The following is a 26,371-nucleotide window of genomic DNA, read 5'->3' as shown; positions in this document are numbered from 1 at the left end:
CTCCTGACCTCAAGTGATCCACCCACCGTGGCCTCCCAAAGTGCCGGGAGTGCAGGCATGAACCACCATGGCCGGCCTAATTTTTGTATTTTTAGTAGAAATAGGGTTTCACCATTTTGGGCAGGCTGGTCTGGAACTCCTCATCTCAGGTGATCTGTCCACCTCCTTTTTTTTTTCTTTAGGAGCAACTCTATTAATGGACCTATTTCATTACATCAAACTAAAATCTGCTTTATATTTACCTTGTATTCTTCAGAATCTTTTTTTTTTTTTTTTTTTGAGACGGAGTTTCACTCTTGTTGCCCAGGCTGGAGTGCAACAGCACGATCTCGGCTCACCGCAACCTCCACCTTCCAGGTTCAAGAGATTCTCCTGCCTCGGCCTCCCTAGTAGCTGGGATTACAGGCCTGTGCCACCACGCCCAGCTAATTTTGTATTTTTGGTAGAGACGGGGTTTCTCCATGTTGGTCAGGCTGGTCTCAAACTCCCCACCTCAGGTGATCCACCTGCTTCAGCCTCCCAAGGTGCTGGGATTACAGGCGTGAGCCACCGAGCCTGACTTCTTCAGAATCTTACAGTCTAAGAGGCCAAAGGGATAACCTAATCCAGTGGTTATCAAAGTGCAGTCCTGGACTAACATCAGCGTCTCTAGGAAACTGTTAAATATGCAAATTGGGCTGGGTGTGGTGGCTCAAGCCTATAATCCTAGCACTTTGGGAGTCTGAGGTTGGAGGACTGGTTGAGCTCAGGAGCTTAAGACCAGCTTGGGCAACACCTCCCAACCTCCACCCCACAAACATCCCAACATCTCCATTAAAAAAAAAAAAAGAAAAGAAAGAAAGAAAAAGAAAAAAGATATGCAAATTGTATGCCCCAACTTCTGAATCAGAAACTGTTGGTGGGGCCCTGCAATGGAGTTTTAACAAACTCTCCATGTAATTCTGATATAGCCTAAAGTTTGAGAACCACAGATTTTATCCAATCCCCTAAGGTCATTTGCTTAAAGGAACAAGGTTTCTTAGAAGTACCCGTGCTAGGCCAGGCGCGGTGGCTCACGCCTGTAATTCCAGCACTTTGGGAGGCCGAGGCGGGCGGATCATGAGGTCAGGAGATCGAGACCATCCTGGCGAACATGGTGGAACCCTGTCTCTACTGAAAATATAAAAAATTAGCCGGGCATGGTGGCGGGCGCCTGTAATCCCAGCTACTCAGGAGGCTGAGGCAGGAGAATGGTGTGAACCCGGGAGGAGGAGCTTGCAGTAAGCCGAGATCATGCCACTGCGCTCCATCCTGGGCAACAGAACAAGACTCGTCTCAAAAAAAAAAAAAAAAAAAAAAAAAAGTGGCCATGCTAGGCTCTCAACCCCAAGTCCAATTCATTTAATACTTACCCCATGCTGTCCCACTATGAGTCCTGGTTCTTAACTCTGGGACGAGAAAGCATAAAGCAAACTTCTATTTCATAACAACAAGCCTTCAATTATAGTATCTCCCTTTCCCTAGGATCATTTTCTGTTTTCTGAGTTCCATCAACATTGTGTCATGTGCTATGTATGTTTTATCTTGTCCAGTTAAAATTTGTCACTTTGAATGGAGCACGGCGCTCCTGGTAGGCAGCAGAAGCCAAAAGAATTACAGACCAGGCTGGGCGCAGTGGCTCACCCCTGTAATCCCAGCACTTTGGGAGGCTGAGGCGGGTGGATCACAAGGTCAGGAGTTAGAGACCAGCCTGACAAACATGGTGAAACCCCGTCTCTACTAAAAACACAAAATTAACCAGGTGTGGTGGCACGCGCCTGTAATCCCAGCTACTCAGGAGGCTGAAGCAGGACAATCTATTAAAACTGGGAGGCCGAGGTTGCAGTGAGCCGAGATAGCGTCACTGCACTCTGGCCTGGGCGACAGAGCGAGACTCTGTCTCCAAAAAAAAAAAAAAGAAAAAAATTACACACCAAATTCCTTAAATTGATTGGAATTACACAGAACAAATGTGTTTCTCATGTATCTTACCTACTCTGTCATTTGTCTCGTTTTGCATTTAAAGGAAATATTATTCAACACAACCATAGAATCAATTTATGTTTCCCTACCCTGATATCAAAGGTCAGTCAATACCATGTCCCACAAACTGATGACTTCTGATATACTGTACATAAACATGTAAAGGTGAGAAAGGCACCATAAAGTATGACTAAACCCAAAAATATATGCAGTTAGTTTAGAGAAAGAAAAAAGGAAGCAGAGTAAAGATTAAGTCAATCCTTTCATTGACACATCAACAGCAAGAGCAAAAATAACCCAAGGAAGTTATTTGTTAAACCTTAAAAATAATAAAAATGTATTATTACATTTATACTTACATTAGATGATGAAATAACTTGTTTGTACCAGAGAGATCCTCGAAAAACTTCGATTTATCAGAACTTCAAATTTCAAAAAAGAGAAACCAGAACAAGCTACTAATTAAGTTCTTACCAGGGATGGTGTGGTATCTTCATCACTGTCTCCATCCTGACTACTTTCCACATCAACACTGAGATTCATCGCATCTGCCGTTCTCTTGGGTTGTAGCTTGTTACTTTCAGTATGAACAGCTGAGGATGAATTTTGCAGCGTGGATTCTGCCTTGGAAGATGTGTTTTTCATCTTTGGAGGTATAATCCTTCTGCAAGTTTTCTTTATTTTAGTCTTCTTACACGCCACTTCATTGTTAGAATTCTTTTCTGATAGGGATTTGGGGCACATAAGCTGGTCTAGCTGGTAATTACTGAGTGAAAAGGGGGCAAGATAGACCTTAGCTGTTTTTATTAAAACTGTAGTCTGTGCTGGTCTCAGAGACACATAAGCGATGTTTTGATTTTCTTTATATTCATTTACCTATTCAGATCAATAAAAGAAAACAGAATATTAGAACTCCAAGTCCTGTGCCTTTTCTTACAGGATCCCTAACAGATCTAATAATTCCCATTTCCCAAAGACAATATAAATCCAAATTGAGGCCAGGTGCAGTGGCTCACGCCTGTAATCCCAGCACTTTGGGAGGCCCAATCGGGCAGATCGCGAGGTCAGGAGATCGAGACCATCCTGGCTAACATAATGAAACCACCTGTCTCTACTAAAAATACAAAAATTAGCTGGGCATAGTGGCACACGCCTGTAGTCCCAGCTACTCAGGAGGCTGAGGCAGAAGAATCACTTGAACCCGGGAGACGGAGGTTGCAGTGAGCCGAGATCACACCACTGCCCTCCAGCCTGGGCAACAGAGTGAGACTTAAGCTCAAAAAAATAAATAAATCCAAATTGACACCCTTCGTAAGAAAACTTATTTTCCCCTCCAAAATCCTAGATATGTAATTCACTAACCTTAACCTCAGTAGAATTCACTTACTGGGCACATTTGCCCATAAGTTTTCCAGACCAATAATAATAATGACTAGCATTTGTGACTGGGGCAAATACCCCAACTGTCAGCTGCGGATTGTCTGGAATTATTTAAAGAGTGTGAAGCCGATCATAACTGTGGCAGAAGAAAACGCAGAAGGTTGAAGAAAGGGAATCCCAGATGTGACTCTCCCACTATTTCTCGGGTTATTGATAAGAACCTTTCGTCAAAGCTGAAGGCCTAAGGGCAGGGATCCCCCGCCTACCCCCGGTGCCAGGTGCCCTCGACCTCCTGGGCCTGTGTCCCGCATAACCCTCACAAAAACCGAGGCAGGAGCACACCTTGGAAGCACCAGTCCGTTTCTCACCTTCATCTGGGGTCGCTGTCTGGAGTCCGCCTTCTCAGCCGCCGCGCCCGACCTGGACATCTTTCGGCTTCTTAGCGGCCGGCGCCTTCCCGCCAAGATTGCGGCGGGAGGCCGGGAGGGGCGGGTCCGAGGCGGGGCGGAGCCCACTCAGATCCCCAGCGGCCGCAGCGCCAGAGCAGGAAGTTGGGGTTTTACGCGCGCTTCTTAAGAAGGCCGCCTTGGCCAGGCGCGGTGGCTCCCGCCTGTAATCCTAAGCACTTTGGGAGGCTGAGGCGGCGGATCACCTGAGGTCAGGAGTTTGAGACCAGCCTGGCCAACATGACGAAACCCCGTCTCTACTAAAATTACAAAAATTAGCCGGGCTTGGTGGCGCGTGCCTGTAATCCCAGTTACTCAGGAGGCTGAGGCAGAATTGCTTGAACCCAGGGGGCAGAGGTTGCAGTGAGCTGAGATCGCGCCATTGCACTCCAGTCTGGGCAACAAGAGTGAGACTCCGTCTCAAAAAAAAAAAAATGCTGTCTTAAAGCCCTAGACTCAAATTCTTTAGGGATGTCCTGGGGCTGAACTGACATTTTTACCTTTGACTGGTGATTTTGATTCTGGTGGTACTGGGATGTCGCTTTGAAAAACACTAACAGGCCGGGAGCGGTGGCTAACGCCTGTAATCCCAACACTTTGAGAGGCCGAGAGGAGTGGATCACTTGGGCCCAGGAGTTCCAAACCAGCCTGGGCAACATAGTGAGACCCCATCTCTATAAAAAATACAAAAATTAGCCCAGCGTGGTGTTGTACGTCTGTAGTCCCAGCTACTCAGAAGGCAGGGGTGGGAAAATGGCTTGAACCTAGAAGGATGAGGCCACAGTGAGCCGTGATTGCGCGGAACTCCAGCCTGAGCGACAGAGCAAGACCCTCTTCTATAAATAATAAAATAAGATTCTGGCTATTCTCTTTAAGGTTCCTTCTAGCCCAAAACTGTTTCCTTGGTTGCTTAGTTGGGTCCCACACTGTTCCTTGCCTGAGATTTGTCCAGTTTCATTTCTTCTCCCACTCAAGGCCCAATTGTAGAACACAGGTGAAGTAATTTGGGTTAATCATATTAATAGCAACTTCAAGGCCCCTCATGACTCAAAAATTACTGATAAAACCAAACTTTTCATGGTGTCCTGTATAAAACATACTGTTTCTGGACTTTAAGACTTTGTTCCTACTGTCCCTTGTCTCCCCCGCAGTTATAAAGTCCTTTCTACTGTGAAATGTGTCCTGACTTTCCAATTAGCCAATATTATATATATTTTTTAACACGACTCAGCTTGTAAATTGGAGCTGCTTCTGTTATTATCCTGTAAGTCCTTAAAGAGTTCTTAAATAGGCCGGGTGCGGTGGCTCACCTCTGTAATCCCAGCACTTTGGGGAGGCCGAGGTAGGTGGATCATCTGAGGTCAGGAGTTCAAGACCAGCCTGGGCAACATGGCGAAACCCTGCCTCTACTAAAAATACAAAAATTAGCCGGGAGTGGTGGCCCACGCCAACACTCAGCACTGTGGGAGGCCGGAGTGGGCGGATCACTTAAGCCTGGCCAACATGGTGAAACCTCGTCTCTACTAAAAATACAAAAATCAGCAGGGAGTGGTGGCAGGCGCCTGTAATCCCAGCTAATCAGAAGGCTGAGGCACGAGAATTGCTTAAACCCGGGAGGTGGAGACTGCAGTGAGCTGAGATCGAGCCACTGCACTCCAGCCTGGGTGACAGAAAAAGACAGTCTCAAAAGAATAATAATTACTTAGATATTTAAATACAAACATTTTCTAGCCAGGAATGTATTTTAATAGGTAGTTTCCAGAAACTGGAAAAACCTGAAAGCCTAAAAAAGTGGAGTTTTGGGATTTCAGGTGGGCAATGTCCCAGGCACCTCGGGAGTTTTTTTTTTTTTTTTTTCGGTCACTGGCCTAAATCAGCACCACCTGCCCTGTGAAACCAAATACCGCACCACAGCCCACCCTGGCCTTATGAACTAAGCTAATCGGATACTACTGGCAAGATTTTTATTCCATCAAACTCTACTTCTTCTGAGCTTTCAACAAGCCATTCAAACAGTAACTCACTGTCGCCTGAGTTTCTTATTCACTATACCGTTCTTGGCTTCAAACCAAGCTAACACGTAAAATCTTTCATTCGAACCTTCCTCACCGCAGAGTCCTAACAGCAAAGCCCAAAGGAAGCAAAATTTCCCGCCAAAAGCTGCTTCCAAATTCTGCGACGTAGAGGACATGCGGGCAGCCAATGAGCATGCGCAGAAACCGACTCGACTTCCTAGCTGTGGGCGCCCAAACGTCGTCCACCATCCCACAATCCTCTCGTCACGTATTTCCGGTTTATCTAGCTCAGCCGTAAGTAGTTTCTCTATCAGTCGCGCAGCTGTGTTCGCGGACTCAGGTGGAAGGAATTTCTTCTCTTCGTTGACGTTGCTGGTGTTCACTGTTTGGAATTAGTCAAGTTTCGGGAATCACCGTCGCTGCCATCAACATGTCGGTCCCAAGCGCTCTCATGAAGCAACCGCCCATTCAGTCTACGGCTGGGGCCGTCCCAGTTCGCAATGAGAAAGGTACGGTGCTAACACCCTCTTCCCAGTCGAATTTTAACCCCTTCCGGCCCCAGCAACCTCCAGACCTCTCCCGGACAGACCACTCCAACCCCGCCAGCTCTTGAGATCTGGCTGCCAGATTCTTCGATCTTTCCACCCCCACCCACTTGCATCCGATCTTGTTCCTGTGGCCTGCTCTCGTATTCAGCAAGCACCTCTCTTCTGTTAGCCTCCACAAATTCCTTAGACTAATGTTACATATATATAATATATATTACACATATAAAAACATTAGGAACTTAAGTATATATCAGAATATATATGTCTAATATATATATGCTAGAATATATGTATTAGTCTAATATATATTATGATTAGAATATAATATCACTAATTACATATAATTACAAGAATTTATGTATTATTAGTGTAATTACTTAGGAACTTAAGTATATTATTAATCTAATAATTAGGAACTTAAGTATATATCAGAATATGTATATAATATCAGACTAGATAGATAGATAGAGAATGCCTGTTGGCAGGGCATTGTGCGGGATACAGTCCCTCTTTTGCTGTCCATAGAAGTCTGCTTATGCTGCCCAGGCTGGACTCGAATTCCTGGGGCTCAGGCTGTCCTCCTGCCTCAGCCTCCCGAGTAGATGCCGCCGTATCTAGTCTCAACATGGCTTTTGAGAATTATCTTTGGATCCCTATACATCTAATTCATTCATCTTAACAGCTTATGAATTCCATTGTATAAAATAAACTGTAATCCACACTTTATTCCCTACTGAGAGGCAGGTGGTTGTCCCCTTGTTCAAAAAAGTGCTGCGGCCAGGCACGGTGTCTTATGCCCATAAACCCAGCACTTTGGGAGGCTGAGGCGGGCTGAACACCTGAGGTCAGGAGTTCAAGACAGCCTGGCGATCATGGCGAAACCCCGTCTCTACTAAAAATACAAAAAATTAGCCATGCATGGTGGTGGGTACCTGTAATCCCAGCTACTTGGGAATCTGAGGCAGGAGAATTGCTTGAACCCGGGAGGTGGAGGTCGCAGTGAGCAGAGATCGCACCATTGCACTCCAGCCTGGGCCACAGTGTGAGACACTCTCTCAAAAAAAAAAAAAGAAAGTTCTGCAATTGTCATTCTCTAGCCAATACTAGCTTTATTTAGTACCTGTTGCCAATTGCTCCCCAAAGTAAGTTATAAGAACATAAGAATTTGTGGAGCACAGTGGCTTACACCTGTAATCTCAGCACTTCGGGAGGCTGAGGCAGGAGGATCGCTTGAGGCCAGGAGTTCAAGACCAGCTTGGGCAACATAGCGAGACCACCCCCCACCCCCGCCAATCTCTGCAAAAATAAAAATTAGGGCCCGGCGCGGTGGCTCACGCCTGTAATCCCAGCACTTTGGGAGGCTGAGGCTGGTGGATCACCTGAGGTCAAGAGTTCGAGACCAACCTGGCCAACGTGGTGAAACCGTCTCTACTAAAAATACAAAAATTAGCCAGGTGTGGTGGCAGGCGCCTGTAATCCCAGCTACTCGGTAGGCTGAGGCAGGAGAATCACTTGAACTCAGGGGGCAGAGGTTGCAGTGAGCCGAGATCGCACCATTGCACTCCAGCCTGGGGGACAAGAGCAAGACTTCGTCTCAAAAATAATAATAATAATAATAATTAAAAATTAGCGGGATGTAGTGATGTGCTCCTGCTACTTGGGGGAAGCCAAAGCAGGAGGATCACTTATGCTCGAAAGTTCAAAGATGCAATGAGCTATGATTGTGCCATTACACTCCAACCTAAGCAACAGATCAAGACCCTGTCTGTTAAAACAAAGGCTGGGCGTGATGCCTCAGGCCTGTAATCCCAGCACTTTGGGAGGCCGAGATGGGTGGATCACCTGAGGTCAGGAGTTTGAGACCAGCCTGGCCAACATGGTGAAACCCCGTCTCTACTAAAAATACAAAAATTAGCCGGGTGTGATGGCGCACGCCTGTAATCCCAGCTGTTTGGAAGGCTGAGGCAGGAGAATCACTTGAACCCGGCAGGTGGAGGTTTCATGGAGCCAAGATCATGCCACTGCACTCCAGCCTGGCCAACAGAGCAAGACTCTGTCTCAAAGAAAAAAAAGAAAACAAACTTTGAGAACCTAAGAGCTTTATTTCCCATATATTCATCATCTACACACTTGGTTGTATCAGATTTTTACATTTTTTGCCCAATCTAACAGGTGTGAAATGGTATCTCATTATTCTAATTTGCATTCCCCTGATTACTAGTGATGCTGGGCTTTTTTTTTTTTTTTTTTTGAGAAAGAGTTTCACTCTTGTTGACCAAGCTGGAGTGCAATGGCTCCATCTCGGCTCACCATAGAGCTACTGCGTCCGGCCGATGCTGGGCATCTTGTTCATGTGTCTAATAAGCTCTCTAGATTTTCTTTTCCATGAATTACCTGTTTCTGTCAGTTACCCACTTTCTGTTTGCTTTGTTTTTATATATTCCAAATCTATAGTATACGTTTCCCCATTTTTTGGCTTGTCTTTTAATTATGGAGTCTTCTCTTACACACGTTTCTAGTTTTAGTATTATCAGATTTATCAACTTTATCTTGTATGGTTTTAGCTTTTTTTTGTATATCGTTTAAGAAATAATCCTTCCCTGCACTGAGATCACAGATACTCATATTGTAAAGGTTTTCTATCTTCTGAGTGTTTGTATATATTAAATTGAGTTGAATACACACTTATACAAGACAGATTATAAGTTAGCTTACAGTCCAGTAGGGAATGTAAATATTTAAGATAAGTTTTTCATAGTTGCGTCTTTAATCCATCTGGAATTTTTGTGTCTGTGGTGGAAGTTAGAGGTCTAATTTTACTATATGGTTGGCCAATTGTCCCTTCTCACCCCATCCATTTTCTACTGATTTTTAATGCCATCCCTATAATATACTCGAGTTCTCATATAAGTTTGTTTTTCTTTTCTCTGTTACATTGATCTCTGTGTACTTCCTGGGTCACTGACATATCTGGTAAACTATGCCCCACCCCTCCTTCCCCGCCCCCATCAGCTTTATTCTTCTTCAGCATTGTCTTGGCATTTTGGGGCCTCCTGTTCTTCCATATGATTTTGGAATAAGCCTGGAGACAACTTTTAATGGAATTGCATTAAAATGATAGATTATACATTTATAGGTTAATTCAGGTGCAGTTGCCATCTTCTCATCCTTGAACATGAAATATTTCTCTATTTACATCTTTTTTATCTTTCAATAAAATTACATATTTTTCCTCCTAAAAGCCTTGTACATTGTTTGTTGGATTTATTCCACAGTATCTTATAGATTACTTGTGACCGTTAATGGTATTTTAAAACTATATTTTCTTCAGCCTGGGCAACATAGCGAGACCCCAAAAAATACAGTGCTCTACAAAAAAACAAAATTACCTGGGTGGTACCTGTCTGTAGTCCCAGCTACTGAGAGGCTGAAGAGGGAGGCTCACTTTAGCCCAGGAGGTTGAGACTGCAGTGAGCTGTGATCATGCCACTGCACACCAGCCTGGGTAACAGAATGAGACCCTTTCTCAAACAGTAGAAAATAAGCCAGGCATGGTGGCTCACGCCTGTAATCCCAGCACTTTGGGAGGCCCTAGGCAAGAGGATCACTTGAGTCCAGGAGTTCAAGACCAGCATGGGCAGCATAGTGAGACCTCGTCTGTACAAAAAAATTTTAAAAATTAGACCGGCATGGTGTTGCACGCCTGTAGTCCCAGCTACTTGGGAGGCTGAGGCAGGAGAATGGTTTGAGCCTAGGAGGCTGACGCTGCGGTGAGCCATGATTGCGCCACCGCACTCCACCCTAGGCAACAGAGTGAGACCCTGTCTCAAGAAAATAAATAAAAATAAAATTGTACTTTCTAATTATATGTAGCTAATGTACAGGTATGCTTATTTTTATAAATAAGTTTTTTATCTAGCATTTTTTCTGAACTCTTTTATCTATTTGTTATCTTGTGTTTTCTACAAAGACAACCATATAATCTGCAAATTATGGCAGTTTCTTCCTTTTAAATCCTTATAACTTTTCCTTATTGCCCAAATTAGAACCATAATACAGTGTTGACTAGAAGGTGTGATAGGTACAACATTAGGATGCTCACTGGTTTTTTTTGTTGTTGTTGTTTGTTTTTTTTGAGATGGAGTCTTACCCTGTCGCCTAGGCTGGAGTGCAGTGGCGCGATCTCGGCTCACTGCAAGCTCCGCCCCTGGGTTCACACCATTCTCCTGCCTCAGCCTCTTGAGTAGCTGGGACTACAGGTGCGTGCCACCACACCCGGCTAATTTTTTGGTTTTTTGTTTTTTTGAGACGGAGTCTCGCTCTCTTGCCCAAGCTGGAGTGCAGTGGTGCTATCTCGCTCACTGCAAGCTCTGTGTCCCGGGTTCACGCCATTCTCCTGCCTCAGCCTCCCAAGTAGCTGGGACTACAGGCACTCGCCACCATGCCTGGCTAATTTTTTTGTCTTTTTAGTGGAGATGGGGTTTCACTGTGTTAGCCAGGATGTTCTCAATTTCCTGACGTTGTGATCCGTCCGCCTTGGCCTCCCAGAGTGCTGGGATTACAGGCGTGAGCCACCACACCCAGCTGGATGCCCACTGATTTTTAAAGAGAATGCTTCTGGCCAGTCACAGTGGCTCACACCTGAAATCCCAGCACTTTATGATACTGAGGCTGGCAGATCACCTGAGGTCAGGAGTTCAAGACCAGCCTGGCCTACATGTTGAAACCCTGTCTTTACTAAAAAATACACAAATTAGCCAGGCATGGTGGTGGGCACCTGTAATCCCAGCTACTCAGGAGCCTGAGGCAGGGAGAATTGCTTGAACCCAGGGGGCGGAGGTTGCAGTGAGCGGAGATCATGCCACTGCACTGCAGCCTGGGCAACAGAGCGAGACTCCATCTCAAAAAAAATAAATAAATAAATAAATAGAATGTTTCTATTGTTTTATCATTAAGTATAAAGTCTGCTGTATCTATTATTTTTTAAAAATGTGACTTTAAAAAATAGTAGGCTAGGAGAGATGGCTCACACCTGTAATCCTAGCACTTTGGGAGACTGAGGCTGGAGGATCACTTGAGGCCAGGAGTCCAAGGCCAGCTTGGGCAACATAGCAAGACCCTTTCTCTACCTTTTAAAAAATAACAAACAAAAATAAAATTTTAAAAAGTAAAAATAGTATATTGCTTCCCTCCCATTGTTCATCTATCTATCTATGTACATTTTTTTTTGGAATTTTGTTTTGTTTTGTTTTGTTTTTAAAGACAGAGTCTTACTGTGTTGCCCAGGCTGGAGTGCAGTAGCACGATCTCAGCTCACTGCAACCTCCACCTTCCAGGTTCAAGTTATTCTCCTGCCTCAGCCACCTGAGTAGCTTGGATTAAAAAGTCTGTGCCACCATGTCTGGCTAATTTTTGTATTTTTAGTAGAGACGGAGTTTTGCCATGTTGGGCAGGCTGGTCTCGAACTCCTAGCCTCAACTGATCTGCCCACCTTGGCTTTCCAAAGTGCTGGGATTACAAGCATGAGCCACTGTGCCCAGCTATATATATTTTTGTGTTTGACACAGGGTCTCACTCTATCACTCAGGCTAAAGTGAGTGCCTTGGTGTGGTCATGGCTTGCCGCAGCCTCAACCTCCTGGGCTCCAGTGATTCTCCCACCTCAGCCTCCCATGTAGCTTGGGACCACAGGCATATACCACTATGTCCGGGTAATTTTTTTTGTTTTTAGTAGAGATGAGGTCTAAACCCAGGCTGGTCTCGAACTCCTGGGTTTAAGCAATCCTCCTGCCTCAACCTTCCAAAATGCTGCGATTATAGGCATGAGCCACTGCACCTGGCCCCCTCATTAATTTTCTAAGGTCAAACTATCCTTCTAGTCTTGGGCTAAATTCTAATAAGTTGTGTTGGTCTAGGGGTTTTTTTTTTTTGTTTCTTTTTTTTTTTTTGGTAGTTTTTATATTGCTGGGATAAATTTGCTCTTACGTTATTTAGTATTTTTGTATTTGTGTTTGTAAGTGAAATCCACCTAAAGTTTTCCTTTGAACTGTCCAATTTGGTTATCAAGGTTATACTCATAAAATAAGTTGGTTAGTTTTCACTGTCTTTGTTCACTAGAATTGTTTGTATTTGTAGGCTGGGTGCTGTGGCTCACGCCTGTAATCCCAGCACTTTGGGAGGCTGAGGTGGGCGGATCATGAGGTCAGGAGATCGAGACCATCATGGCTAATACGGTGAAACCCCATCTCTACTAAAAATACAAAAAATTAGCTGGGCATGGTGGCATGCGTCTGTAGTCCCAGCTACTCAGGAAGCTGAGGCAGAAGAATCACTTGAACCCGGGAGGCGGAGGTTGCAGTGAGCCGAGACCACGCCACTGCACTCCAGCCTGGGCGACAGAGCGAGACTCCGTCTCAAAAAAAAAAAAAAAAAAAGAATTGTATTTGTAAGAGATTACATACTCTTGCATGTTTGATAACACATAAGGTAAAGGAAAAGAAGGTAGAAATAGGTAAGATTAGAATATTGAGTCATGTGGCAGTATGTTATAAAGGCTGCCATGGAAATTCCAGAGGGAACTACAAGAATGCCTGAGCAGTTTTATGTTCCTGCAGAAATTACCCTTACTATGTGCTGGGCACTGTTACAAATAATTTGTTTAAGGGTATAGTTGAGGTGGGATACCATGAATTTGTGATGGATGCAGTCTGCCTTTTTGGGGGGGGACTTTTTTCTACTGTTTCACTGCCTACCTTCCTCTACTTCATTGTACTCAAGGTAAGCCTCATTATCATCAGTGTTGGCTTTCACAAGGATGCAGTCTCATGACTTGGCCTTTGTAGGAAAACACCATTAGAAGAGTAGATGGTTGGGTAGTGGCTCTCTTCTTCTTCTGCTTAGACTCTTGTCTACTATGAATAAAGGGCTCTATTTGCAAAGGCCGTGATGGGTTGAAGCACATTGAGAAAGAGGCTACTGAAACATAAGTTACCTTTCTCGCCCAGGTGAGATTTCAATGGAAAAAGTGAAGGTAAAGCGTTATGTGTCCGGAAAAAGGCCAGACTATGCCCCTATGGAGTCCTCAGATGAGGAGGATGAAGAATTTCAGTTCATTAAGAAAGCCAAAGAACAAGAAGCAGAGCCTGAGGAACAGGAGGAGGATTCATCCAGTGACCCCCGGCTACGGCGTTTACAGAACCGTATTAGTGAAGATGTGGAAGAGAGGTAATGTCTGTGATTGTGTTTACTTGAACATGAACCTCTACAGCTTAATAATAATAATAATAGCTAATACTTGAATAGTACTACCAAGTAGATTACATTTGCTAATTCTTGTAATCCATACAATAACTTTATGAAATAGGTGCTATTATCCCCATTTCACAAAAGGAGGAAACTAAGAGCACAAAGGGGCTAAGAAAGTTACATGACCAAAGCTACAAAGTGGCAGCTTCAGGAAACAGCAGGTTACTTCTGGCCTAAAGGACCTACTCAACTCCTTATGGGAATAGAAAACACAGACCATTTGTTGGCTGTTGAGAGGAGTCTTTTTAGCACAAAGATGTTTTATAAACTTTGGTAAATTGATTTTATACATCTACTTATTCTAAATGCTAATAAGGGGAAATGACACTGAAGTAGGAGAAAAGACCTTATAAAGGTCTCATGGTAGAAAGAGAGCCTCCCAGTGAGGGATTTTGTATGTTATATATTGATGGAGACATTACTTTATAGAGTAGGCCAGGAGTCCTGAACTTTCACCGTTCATAATTGTCCCAGGAGTTTTTTCACAGAGCTCCTGGGCCAAAACAGTTCTGTTTATTTTAGTTATTAAGTAGTTAGAGCCAAGTAACTTAATAAGTATTTATGTCCTAATAACTTTGCCACTTGAAGATTAACAGTGCCCATGGCCAGGTGCGGTGGCTCACGCCTGTAATCCTAGCACTTTGGGAGGCTGAGGCGGGTGGATCACGAGGTCAGGAGTTCAAGACCAGCCTGGCCAACTTGGTAAAACCCCATCTCTACTAAAAATACAAAAAAATTAGCCAGGCCTGGTGGCGGGCACCTGTAATCCCAGCTACTTGGGAGGCTGAGGCAGAGAATTGCTTGAACCTGGCAGGCAGAGATTGCAGTGAGCCGAGATCACGCCACTGCACTCCAGCCTGGGTGACAAAGCGAGACTCCATCTCAAAAAAAAAAAAAGAAAAGAAAAAAGAAAAAAAAATAAAATTACAGTGCCCAGGGGGGAAAAAACACTTTTATTCATTCTCACATAACCATAGTTACTAGTGGAATTTGTTTGCCTGTTGGACACTGACAGCCTTTCAAACCTTGGAATCAGCACTGTCACTTTTTCATGTCTTGTTTTATATTGATTTTCATACTATACTTTCTTTTACTTTTTATCACAGCAGCCACCAAAACCCAGTTTCACAAAGACACGATATTCTCGAAAGGAATGTAGTGTGACTTAATGTTGAAAGTGAATTATCTTGAGCTATTAAAAATATTCCAATGCAGGCCAGGCTCAGTGACTCATGCCTGTAATCCCAGCACTTTGGGAGGCCTAGGCAGGCGGATCACCTGAGGTCAGGAGTTCAAGACTAGCCTGGCCAATATGGCGAAACTCCATCTCTACTAAAAATAAAAAAATTAGCTGGGTGTGGTGGTGCATGCCTGTAATCCCAGCTACTCGGGAGGCTGAGGCAGGGATTATCACTTGAACCTGGGAGGTGGAGGTTGTGGTGAGCCAAGATCATGCCCTTGCACTTCAGCCTGGGTGACAGAGTGAGATTCTGTCTCAAAAAAAAAAAAATCCCAATGCATCCCTATGAGTTTGCTGGCTTGCTGTGGTGCCCCAGGATGCCTCAACATACATTTAGTATTTCAGGCCCAACTTGACTATTCGCTCTGACATCCTAGTTTAGTTTCTTTAATCTGCACCTCAGTTTCCTCCACCTCAATACTTTAATACTGGATGGACATGGTGGCTCACACCTATAATCCCAGCACTTTGAGAGGCTGAGGTGGGCAGATTGCCTAAGTCCAGGAGTTCAAGACCAGCCTGGGCAACATGGTAAAACCCCGTCTCTACAAAAAATACAAATATTAGCCAGGTGTGGTGGCACGCCTATAGTCCCAGCTACTCAGGAGGCTGAGGTGGGAGGATCACTTGAGTCTGGGAGGCAGAGGTGGCAGTGAGCCAAGATCGCACCACTGCACTGCAGCCTGGGCGACAGAGCAAGACCCTGCCTCAAAAAAAAAAAAACTTCAGTATTAATGAAGGCAAACATAATGTGCTCTGTGGCTATGGAAATGCAGTTGATGCTACTTCATTTTTATGACATTGGTGTTACATTTGGAGATACTGTTTTTCAGATTGGCTCGACATCGAAAAATAGTGGAACCTGAAGTGGTAGGAGAGAGTGACTCAGAAGTAGAAGGAGATGCTTGGCGCATGGAACGAGAAGACAGCAGTGAAGAAGAGGAGGAGGAAATTGATGATGAGGTATGATAAAGGAACATGGGAAGTTTTTTTCTGGATATAAGAAAAAGTTCATGCCAGTGCTCATTTGTTGAAGCCTTAAAAACATGAGATCACTGCTTTGGCAGGACTCTGATCATGTTCCTTGTTTGTGGGGATAGGATTAAAAATAGAATGATACTAAGTTGTATCTTTTTACATTTGAATTTGTTGTGTTTGATGAGACGAACAAAAAGCCATAGGCCATTTGACTGACTGGCTTATATATATGACTTGATAGGAAATAGAGCGGCGGCGTGGCATGATGCGTCAGCGAGCACAGGAGAGAAAAAATGAAGAGATGGAAGTCATGGAAGTGGAAGATGAGGGTCGTTCTGGAGAGGAGTCAGAATCAGAGTCTGAGTATGAAGAGTACACAGACAGTGAAGATGAGATGGAGCCTCGCCTTAAGCCAGTCTTCATTCGAAAGTAAGTATCTCACAAGCCAGATCTGAATCCACTTAATTACCACTTTCCAGGCCTGGAGACAAAAGTCTGTTTTCTGTCTTGCTATTCTGAAATCTAAACGCTGAGTGAAAGTGCTTTTGCTAGTGCTCTACCCTTGGCAGACTAGCTGCTGAGGAATATCTTGGCGTTAGCAGAGAACCTGAGTTTGTTTTCACATCTCTTTTTTCAGTAATAGAGCATATATCTGTCCAAGGCCTTTTTTTGTTTGTTTGAGACAGAGTTTCGCTCTTGTTGCCCAGGCTGGAGTGCAATGGCATGATCTCGGCTCACCACAACCTCCACCTCCTGGTTTCAAGCAGTTCTGCCTCTGTCTCCCGAGTAGCTGGGATTACAGGCATGCGCCACCACGCCTGGCTAATTTTGTATTTTTAGTAGAGAGGGGGTTTTTCCATGTTGGTCAGGCTGGTCTCGAACTCCCAACCTCAGGTGATCCGTCCTCCTCAGCCTCCCAAAGTGCTAGGATTACAGGCATGAGCCACGGCACCAAGCCAAGGCCATATATTTTTAAGCACAAAATTAAACTCAACGAGCAAATTCCTATTCCTTTCCTGATGGCTAGAAATCCTACTGCTTAGAGGCCAGCAGGTTCTTTGCTGTCTAGGCAGTTCTCAAAGATGAACATGATTTTAGTCCTCTAAAGACCTGGGATGATGGCTGGGCACGGTGGCTCACGACTGTAATCCCAGCACTTTGGGAGGCTGAGGTAGGTGGATCAGGAGGTCAGGAGTTCAAGACCAGCCTAGCCAAGATGGTGAAACCCCATCTCTACTAAAAATACAAAGAAATTAATCAGGTGTGGTGGCAGACTCTTGTAATCCCAGCTACTCAGGAGGCTGAGGCAGAGAATTGCTTGAACCCAGGAGGCGGAGGTTGCAGTGAGCCAAGATCACACCACTGCACTGCAGCCTAGGCGACAAGTGAGACTCCGTCTCAAAAAAAAAAAAAAAAAAAAAGACCTGGGATGACTCAGCGTTTTTTGCTCTTTGAAAATAATAGAGCCAAAGATTGTTTGGTTTTTGTCTGATTTGGATGGGACTAGGTCTAGGGGAACAAAGCACTCCACTCTAAGGACTTTGGGCAATTAACAGGATCTCTGTGATGCAGGAAGGACCGAGTGACAGTTCAAGAACGTGAAGCCGAAGCATTGAAACAGAAGGAGCTGGAGCAGGAAGCAAAACGCATGGCTGAGGAAAGGCGCAAGTACACACTCAAGGTACTGGGGAGTGGTTGCAAGGAATGAGTACAAGAAATAGTGTAATCAGGTTTGTCTGAGGAGAGTAAGGAAGTCCAAGCTGAATTGTTCTCCCTATCCAGATTGTCGAAGAGGAAACCAAAAAAGAGCTGGAAGAGAACAAGCGATCCCTGGCTGCATTGGATGCACTCAATACTGATGATGAAAATGATGAGGAGGAATATGAGGCATGGAAAGTTCGAGAGCTAAAAAGAATCAAGAGGGACAGAGAAGATCGAGAAGCGTGAGTAAAAAGATGAGCCTAGAGTTAATGCTGCTAATGGAACAGGTTTCTAGCAGGATAGCTCTGAGACTCATTACCTACTGTGAGTTCCATTCTAGCCACCTTCAGAGTTCTTGTTGCTTTGTGAGTTTCCTATAATTGGAATATGAGTTTCACTTGCTACAGTGAAATCAGGGAAGAGAAAAACACTTTGTCGATGTGTGTCCATAATAGAGTGCCAGCCAGTGCTCCCTTTAGTTTCCTAGTAGACACAAAAATTAGTAACTGTTAGTAGTTATCTCTTCTTGTGTACAACCCAACCCACAATTGAGTGACTTGAAACTATAATTTATTACTTTTCACAACTTTGGAGGTTGGCTGAACAGTTCCTCTACTGATTTCACCTGGGCTTACTTATGTAGTTGCATCCAGCTGGAAGGTTGACTGGGCTGGAAACTTAAAAGGGCTTCACTCACATGTTAGTAGTAGGTGGTGGCTATCAGTTAGGATACCTCACTTATCCTTCACTGGATTAGACTGGCTTCCTTACATAGCAGTCTCAGGGCACCATTCTAAGAGGGCAAGGTCTTCTGACATGTCGGTTCCAGAACTCATACATCGATCTTGCCACATACTGGTCAAAGCAAGTCACAAGGCCAACCTAGCTTTAAGCAGGTGGAGAAACAGACTCCACCTCTGCAGAGGAGGAGCAGCAAAGTCATACTTTTTGAAAAGGGGCATACATACTGTGAGGGGAAGAATTTGTGGCACTTAAATAATCTACACTGTGTTAGAGCAGAATCTTTTTTTTTTTTTTTTGACATGAAGTTTCACTTTTCACCCAGGCTGCAGTGAAGTGTCACAATCTCAGCTCACTGCAGCCTCCGCCTGCCAGGTTCAAGTGATTTTCCTGCCTCAGCCTCCCAAGTAGCTGGGATTACAGGCATGCGCCACCATGCCTGGCTAATTTTCGTATTTTTAGTACAGACAGGGTTTCACCATGTTGGTCAGGCTGGTCTCGAACTCATGATCTCAGGTTGTCCACCCAACTCGGCCTCCCAAAGTGCTGGGATTATGGCATGAGCCATCATGCCCGGCCCCAGCAGAATCATTTCTGAGCTGCATCACTCATTCCTGTAAATTACTAGGTATGAGAGGGTAATCCCAGATTACAAAGGAAACCATCAATAGATAACTCTAGGCTGGGCGTGATGGCTCACACCCATAATCCCAGCACTTTGGGTGGCTGAGGCAGGCGAATCACTTCAGGCTGAGAGTTCAAGACCAGCTTGGCCAACATGGTGAAAACCTATCTCTACTAAAATACAAAAATTAGCTGGGTGTGGTGGTGTGTGCCTGTTATTCCCAGCTACTCGGGAGGCGGAGGCAAGAGAATCGCTTGAACCCGGCAGGCAGAGGTTGCGGTGAGCTGAGATCGTGCCACTGCACTCCAGCCTAGGTGACAGAGTGAGACTCTATCTGGAAAAAAAAAAAAAAGAAAAAAAGAAAACTTGCCTGAGTATGAGCTACACACAGTAGATAACTCCATACTCAGCCTGTAATTTTTTGTTTTTGGTTTTTTTTTTTTTTTTGAGACACAGTCTCACTCTGTCGCCCAGGCTGGAGTGCAGTGGCGCAATCTTGGCTCACTACAACCTCCACCCCCTGGGAGTCAAGCGGTTCTCCTGCCTCAGCCTCCTGCGTAGCTGGGACTACAGGTATATGCCACCACGCCCAGCTAATTTTTGTATTTTTAGTAGAGGTGGGTTTTCACCATGTCGGCCAGGCTGGCCTTGAACTCCTGACTTCAGGTGATCCACCCACCTCGGCCTCCCAAAGTGCTGGGATTACAGGCATGAGCCACCACGCCTGGCCCTCAGCCTGTAGTTTCTAAGATTTTTATCCTGGACCTGTAGGAGTAGGAGTCTAAGTGCCCTTTAAAATTGTACACAAGGCCGGGCGTGGTGGCTCACGCCTGTAATCCCAACAATTTGGGAGGCCGAGGTGGGCGGCTCACAAGGTCAGGAGTTTGACACCCGCCTGTCCAACATGGTGAAACCCTGTCTGTACTAAAAATACAAAAATTAGTCGGGCATGGTGGCACACACCTGTAATCCCAGCTACTCAGGAGGCTGAAGCAGGAGAATAGCTTGAACCTGGGAGGCAGAGGTTGCAGTGAGCCAAGATCATGCCACTGCACTCCAGCCTGGGCAACAGAGCAAGATTCCATCTCAAAAAAATATAAAATTGTACACAAAATTGTGTGTATGTATGCATTTTATTTGGAGACAAGGGATATCACTCCCTCTCCCCAACACTGGCTAAAAAGTTACTGCAATCTGGCTGGGCGCAGTGGCTCACGCCTATAATCCCAACACTTTGGAAGGCCAAGGCGGGCGGATCACGAGGTCAGGAGATTGAGACCATCCTGGCTAACACGGTGAAACCCCGTCTCTACTAAAAATTCAAAAAGATTAGCTGGGCATGGTGGCGGGCACCTGTAGTCCCAGCTAATCGGGAGGCTGAGGCAGGAGAATGGCATGAACCCAGGAGGCGGAGCTTGCAGTGAGCCAAGATCACACCACTGCACTCCAGCCTGGGCGACAGAGCAAGACTCCATCTCACCAAAAAGAAAAAAAAAAAAAAAAGTTACTGCAATCTAATTAATGATGGTAATCTTTGGTTTATGACATGCAAGCACCTATATGATTATGATACACTTACATAAAGGAATACCAGCAAAGCCTCAGACACTTATTTTAAATTCACTGATTTTTTTTTTTTTTTAAAGCTAAGAAGACCTTTTAGGGAAAGAGAATTTGTAATGTTGGAAAACCCAGCAGTAATAGTATGTCTGAACGTCAGAAGGGCTAGAATCAACTTTTGAAAGTTGGCAATACCTAGTCTAGCAAACATAATGAAGACTAACTCACCCATTTGTTTATTGAGCTCCTTATCTTGATTCCTAATAGGCAATGACTAGAATTAAAGAAGGTGACTAATACTTGAAATGACATGGGACTGTTATTTTCAGATAATTTGGTCTTTCTGAAGCTGTAACAGTACCAATAAATTGTTTTGCTCCCTGGACAGGCTTGAGAAGGAGAAAGCAGAAATTGAACGCATGCGAAACCTGACTGAGGAAGAGAGGAGAGCTGAACTTCGGGCAAACGGCAAAGTCATTACCAACAAAGCTGTTAAGGGCAAATACAAGTTCTTACAGAAGTATTATCACCGGGGTGCCTTCTTCATGGTAAGAAGTGAAAAGAGAGTCAGAAAATTGGGCAGTAGGAATAACTCAGAAACTTTGAATTATTTTTCTCTTCAAGAATATTCTGGAATGTAATTTCCACTTGCCAGTGGTCAGCTTTCTCATTTGCTTTTTCCTTCTGAACAATATAAACTCAGAGAAAAGCATCAGCAATTGGATGACAGAAGTAGCATCAACTGTTCTCTCTTTTGGCCCCAACTCTCAAAAATAGGAAATGATGTAATAGACTTTTTTTTTTTTTTTAAGAGACAGAGTCTCGCTGTCACCCAGGCTGGGGTACGGTGGTGCGATTATAGTTCACTGCAACCTTGACGTCCTGCGCTTTACACCTGCTTCAGCCTCCAGAGTAGCTGGGACTACAGGCATGCAACAACCATGCCTGGCTTTTTTTTTTTTTTTGGTTATTTTTTTTTTAATTTTTCGTAAAGACCAGGTTTCACTATGTTGCCCAGGCTGGTGTTGACCTTCTGGCCTCAAGCAATCCTCCCACCTCAGCCTCCCAAAGTATTAGGAATACAGGCATGAGCCATCATCCCCAGCCTTAGATAAATTGAGGAAATGAAATAGAGAAGTGATCTGTACAGATAGTGGACTAATTAGGTCCTCCACATGACATAGTTGTCATTCTTTCATAGCTGAATGAGAAGTTTTGGTTATGTGAAAACCAAACTCTGCAAATAGCTTTACATTAATTCACTTTTGGGTGGCAGAAAGTTAGTTCACTTCATTCTGAACTGACAGTACCCAAGAGTAACTAACCAAAAAAAATGGTTTATTATCTAACCATTAGATGGAATGCCGTCATCTTTGTTTTTCATATAAAGACTAAGATCAAAATAGCAATCTGTTAACCCTGTATGGTTTATTTCCTAATGTTAAAGCAGTTTGCACCAAAAACTAGACTAGCTTTTTCAAGTGCCGTGTGGCAAATTCTAAATATCCCCACTGCAACTAAATTCCTGCCTTTCACTGCAGATGCTGTTAAAACTTCAGTGGCGGCTTCCCTGCCACCCTCCAAAATCAGTTTCAGGTCTATCTGATTAGCAGGAAGTGTTTACTTAGGTAGTTTTCCAGCAGATGTAGCTTACTATTCAGTGGAGATTATGAACTACTTCTTGTACTGCTTCGGTCATAAAGTTTGTTTGCTTAAGCAGTTCGCAGCTTTAATAATCAAGTTTCTTAGAGAAGCAGTTCATTGCTAGTTAAGATACATAAGAAAAGTGTATGTGAAAGTCCTTTGGTGGGCCAGGTACATTGGCTAATGCCTGTAATCTTAACATTTTGGGAGGCAAGGCCAGCAGATCAGTTGAGCCCAGGAGTTCAGCCCGGGCAACATGGCAAAACCCCATCTCTACAAAAAATACAAAAATTAGGCGTGGTGGTCCGTGCCTGTAGTGTCACCTATCAAGGGGCTGAGGTGGAAGGATTGCTTCAGCCCGAGAGGTTGAGGCTGCAGTCAGCCGTGATCGTGCCACTGCACTGCAGCCTGGGTGGCTGACCAAGACTTTGTCTCAAAATAAATTGTTTTTAAAAAGTCTTTCTTAAACAAGATAGTGCTATTTTTAATTCCTTCAGCATATGTGTTTATAAATATGTATCACAGCATTGTAATATTATCACTCAGGCTAGAGTGCAGTGGTGCAGTCATGGCTCACTGCTGCCTCATTCTCCTGGGCTCAAGCAGTCCTCCTGCCTCAGCCTCCTGAGTAATTGGGACTACAGGTGTGTGCCACCACACCTAATTTCTATTTTGTAGAGATGGGTTTTGCTATGTAGCCCAGGCTGGTCTCAAACTCCTGGGCTCAAACTCTCCTTCCACCTTGGCCTCCCAAAGTGCTGGGATTACAGGCAAGAGCAACTGCATCCAGCCTTACTAATGTTGTTTATTTCATTGAGTAAGTAAGCTTTAGTGCATATACTATGCAAAGGTCACTGTTTAGCACTGTTAGCGAGAATACATAATCACTATAACATAAGTAAAAGTAAAGTACTGTAGGGGTTCTGACGAGAGAGATGTTATATTTGGTAGAAGATTGAAAGGGTTGACGTAAAGGTTGTAACATTTAAGCATTTAAGATGTATAATTTTGGGCCGGGCGCGGTGGCTCACGCCTGTAATCCCAGCACTTTGGGAGGCCAAGGCAGGCGGATCATGAGGTCAGGAGATTGAGACCATCCTGGCTAACATGGTGAAAACCCATCTCTACTAAAAATACAAAAAATTAGCTAGGCGTGGTGGCGGGCGCCTGTAGTCACAGCTACTTGGGAGGCTGAGGCAGGAGAATGGCGTGAACCTGGGAGGCGGAACTTGCAGTGAGCCGAGATCACGCCACTGCACTCTAGCCTGGGCGACAGAGTGAGACTGTATCAAAAAAAAAAAAATTAAATATATAATTTTTTTTTTTGTCACCTAGGCTTGAGTGCAGTGGTGCGATCTTGGCTCACTGCAACCTCCGCCTCCCGGGTTCAAGCAATTCTCCTGCCCCAGTCCCCCAAGTAGCTGGGAATACAGGCGTGTACCACCACGCCCAACTAGTTTTTGTATTTTTAGTAGAGACGGGGTTTCTCCATGTTGGCCAGGCTGGTCTTGAACTCCTGACCTTAGGCGATGTGCCCACCTCAGTATCCCAAAGTGCTGGGATTACAGGCGTGAGCTACTATGCCCGGCCAAGATGTATAGACTTTTTGACATTCGGTGCTGGGAAGACATTCCAGGTGGAGACCAGCAGGAGTGGAGGCAGAAAGCATCAGCTGTGAAGGGAAGCGGCAAAGAGAACTGAAAAGGTGGATTAAGGCTGTATAATATTTGGCCTTGATTACTACACAGAGGAGTTGTATTCATTTATTTATTTATTTATTTATTTTTGAGATGGAATCTCGCTCTGTCACCCAGGCTGGAGTGCAGTGGTGCGATCTCAGCTCACTGCAACCTCCACCTCCTGAGTTCAAGTGATTCTCCTGCCTTGGCCTCCTGTGTAGCTGAGATTACAGGTGCGCGCCACCAGGCCTAGTGTTTTTTGTATTTTTAGTAGAGACAGAGTTTCACCATGTTGGTCAGGTGGGTCTTGAACTCGTGACCTCGTGATCCGCCCGCCTTGGCCTCCCAAAGTGCTGGGATTACGGGCGTGAGCCACTGCGCCCAGCCTAGGTGTTGTATTCATTTAATAGACAACCATTGAAGTTTTTGAGCAAGGCAAAGATTATAATGAGTTACAGTCTAGAAACATCAGTGCCATGACAGTATGTGAGACTGATAGTAGAGGAAAACTAATAACCCAGGTGGTAAGAGTTTGTAAGATGTGGCAACTGATTGAATGCACACAGAGGTTACTCAGTTTTGAATCTAGGTAATCGAAGAGTACGCTGGTCCTACTAACAGAAAAGTTAAAGAGAAGAGGTTGATATGGAAAGGTTAGGTATTAATAAATGGTTTTCACTTTAGACGTGCATTTCAAGTCCCAATAAAATATCCAACTTATGATATATGAAAGCCAGTAAAAAATCCAGGATTGCAGATTTGAGAGGCCTATGCAGAGTTGAAGTCACATGAGTAAACAAACACATTGAGTGCAGAGAATAAGCCAACCTTCAAGACACGTCTACACTCAAGGAGAAAATTAGGCATAGTTGCATGCACCTGTAGTCCCAGCCACTCAGGAGGCTGAGGTGAGAGCATCGTTTGATCCTGGGAGGTCAAGGCTTCAGTGAGCAGTAGTGACCCCACTGCACTCCAGCCTGGACATCAGGACATCAGAATGAGACGCTGTCTCAGGGAAAAAAAAAAAAAAAAAGGAGAAATACAACAAAGGAAAAAGAATATCATCTCGGCCGGGCGCAGTGGTTCACACCTGTAATCCCAGCACTTTGGGAGGCCAAGGTGGGCAGATCGCAAGGTCGGGATATCGAGACCATCTGGGCTAACACGGTGAAACTCCGTCTCTATTAAAAATACAAAAAATTAGCCGAGTGTGGTGGCATGCACCTGTAGCCTCAGCTACTCGGGAGGCTGAGGCAGGAGAACTGCTTGAACCTGGGAGACGGAGGTTGCAGTGAGCCAAGATCGCGGCAGTGCACTCCAGCCTGGGCAACAGAGCGAGAGTCCGTCTCAGAAAAAAAAAAAAGAATGTCATCTCTTCAACTAGATGTAAGCTCTTGAAGAAAGGCTCAATACCCTCTGCTTTCTCTGTATCCCTTATTGTAGAGTTTAATAAATTTGTGGTTTGAATATATAGGAAATAAAGCCACAAGATTGATAAGATTTTTTTTATACAGGATGAGGATGAAGAAGTATACAAGAGAGATTTCAGCGCTCCTACCCTGGAGGATCATTTCAATAAAACCATTCTTCCTAAAGTCATGCAGGTATGGGGAACCTTAATAACATGACAGAGAAAAGTGATGTATTGATAGCTGAGGCATGGTTTGTTTGGTGGTATAACTCATCATCCATCCTTCCCTCAGGTCAAGAACTTTGGACGCTCAGGTCGCACCAAATACACTCACCTTGTGGATCAAGATACCACCTCCTTTGACTCAGCTTGGGGCCAAGAGAGTGCCCAGAACACAAAGTTCTTCAAACAAAAGGCAGCTGGGGTACGAGATGTATTTGAGCGGCCATCTGCCAAGAAGCGGAAAACTACCTAGGGTCCAACTGCTTATTCTTCCAACTGTGGAACACAAGGGGAGTCTCAGCATCTGGTCCTTGATTTGGTTTTTTCATTGTTTCCTTGGCCCCTGTATCCAGATATTGGACTTACTGCTATACTTGTGATACTGGGTAGCCCAGACTTTGAAGGTGCTTTGTGAGGTTTGGACTCATGCTGAGAAACCCACAGGAAAGCACTGTCCAGGTAGGATTAGAGGCTTCCCACTTAAAACTATTTCTGAGAAATCTTAGGTTTTATCACTGCTATGGTTTCCCATATTTACTTGGGACTGTTCTGACTTTCTTTTTCCAGCCCTTAGCTTGGGTTAGAAAAGTGGACATGTAAGTGAACAATGCATTACTTCTACCTTAGGTTTAGGAGTAATATACCCGGAAATCTAAGCTCATGGAAACATGTTTTCCATTTTTGCTTGGAGTCCGTTTTTCTAGTTGTACATACTTTTTGATCCATATATGTGTGCATGTCAAGAAATAAAAGAATCACACAACAAGGAGATTTTTAGCATGATACTGGAAATAAAATGTCCAAGCTGACAAGTATTAATTGCCTATTAAAGTAAAAGATAACAATTGTCAGGCAGAAGGTGTTTCACATTTTGAT

At 44.4% G+C, this 26,371-nt stretch overlaps 2 protein-coding genes across 3 annotated transcripts in view, besides 7 other annotated features; one reads left to right on the top strand and one right to left on the bottom strand.

Annotated features, from left to right (window-relative positions):
- The window catches only part of WDR76 (WD repeat domain 76), a 41,411-nt gene extending 37,571 nt beyond the window's left edge, over positions 1-3,840 (bottom strand). Inside the window, exons 1-2 of one of the 2 annotated variants that reach the window (NM_024908.4) lie at positions 3,750-3,840; positions 2,476-2,877 (exon numbers count right to left, since the gene is read on the bottom strand). In NM_024908.4, coding sequence (NP_079184.2) covers positions 2,476-2,877; positions 3,750-3,809 — 462 coding nt within the window. In that variant the 5' untranslated portion in view covers positions 3,810-3,840. The remainder of the gene's footprint in view (positions 1-2,475; positions 2,878-3,749) is intronic. The other variant, NM_001167941.2, reaches the window with a different exon arrangement.
- Positions 3,812-3,871: a silencer, noted in NCBI's record as "silent region_6390". NCBI's record gives its function as "represses an Ori minimal core promoter by ATAC-STARR-seq in GM12878 lymphoblastoid cells {active_cell/tissue: GM12878}" and the evidence as "EXISTENCE:reporter gene assay evidence [ECO:0000049][PMID:35858748]".
- Positions 5,705-6,336: an enhancer, noted in NCBI's record as "H3K27ac hESC enhancer chr15:44116704-44117335 (GRCh37/hg19 assembly coordinates)". NCBI's record gives its function as "activates a minimal SCP1, AML or CMV promoter by ChIP-STARR-seq in primed H9 embryonic stem cells {active_cell/tissue: H9 hESC(primed)}" and the evidence as "EXISTENCE:reporter gene assay evidence [ECO:0000049][PMID:30033119]".
- Positions 5,705-6,348: a biological region, named in NCBI's record as "H3K27ac hESC enhancer GRCh37_chr15:44116704-44117335".
- Positions 6,089-6,348: an enhancer, noted in NCBI's record as "active region_9331". NCBI's record gives its function as "activates an Ori minimal core promoter by ATAC-STARR-seq in GM12878 lymphoblastoid cells {active_cell/tissue: GM12878}" and the evidence as "EXISTENCE:reporter gene assay evidence [ECO:0000049][PMID:35858748]".
- MFAP1 (microfibril associated protein 1) lies at positions 6,152-26,350 on the top strand. Its single transcript, NM_005926.3, has 9 exons — positions 6,152-6,351; positions 13,394-13,613; positions 15,768-15,897; positions 16,154-16,341; positions 17,485-17,593; positions 17,695-17,855; positions 20,928-21,087; positions 25,377-25,466; positions 25,566-26,350. Exons 1-9 carry the CDS (start codon positions 6,273-6,275, stop codon positions 25,746-25,748), a joined length of 1,320 nt encoding a protein of 439 aa, NP_005917.2. The 5' UTR covers positions 6,152-6,272; the 3' UTR covers positions 25,749-26,350.
- Positions 17,021-18,220: an enhancer, noted in NCBI's record as "MED14-independent group 3 enhancer chr15:44104820-44106019 (GRCh37/hg19 assembly coordinates)". NCBI's record gives its function as "activates an origin of replication core promoter dependent on BRD2, BRD4, P300/CBP and CDK7 cofactors, and independent of MED14, by STARR-seq in HCT116 cells {active_cell/tissue: HCT116}" and the evidence as "EXISTENCE:reporter gene assay evidence [ECO:0000049][PMID:35650434]".
- Positions 21,186-21,245: an enhancer, noted in NCBI's record as "active region_9330". NCBI's record gives its function as "activates an Ori minimal core promoter by ATAC-STARR-seq in GM12878 lymphoblastoid cells {active_cell/tissue: GM12878}" and the evidence as "EXISTENCE:reporter gene assay evidence [ECO:0000049][PMID:35858748]".
- Positions 21,306-21,355: an enhancer, noted in NCBI's record as "active region_9329". NCBI's record gives its function as "activates an Ori minimal core promoter by ATAC-STARR-seq in GM12878 lymphoblastoid cells {active_cell/tissue: GM12878}" and the evidence as "EXISTENCE:reporter gene assay evidence [ECO:0000049][PMID:35858748]".
- Positions 26,351-26,371: the final 21 nt, after the last annotated feature.

The sequence above is a fragment of the Homo sapiens genome, chromosome 15, assembly GCF_000001405.40.
Source record: "Homo sapiens chromosome 15, GRCh38.p14 Primary Assembly".
Taxonomy (NCBI): Eukaryota; Metazoa; Chordata; class Mammalia; order Primates; family Hominidae; genus Homo; species Homo sapiens.
The sequence above is the reverse complement of the archived record's forward strand: the minus strand, read 5'-3'. Positions and strand labels throughout refer to the sequence as shown.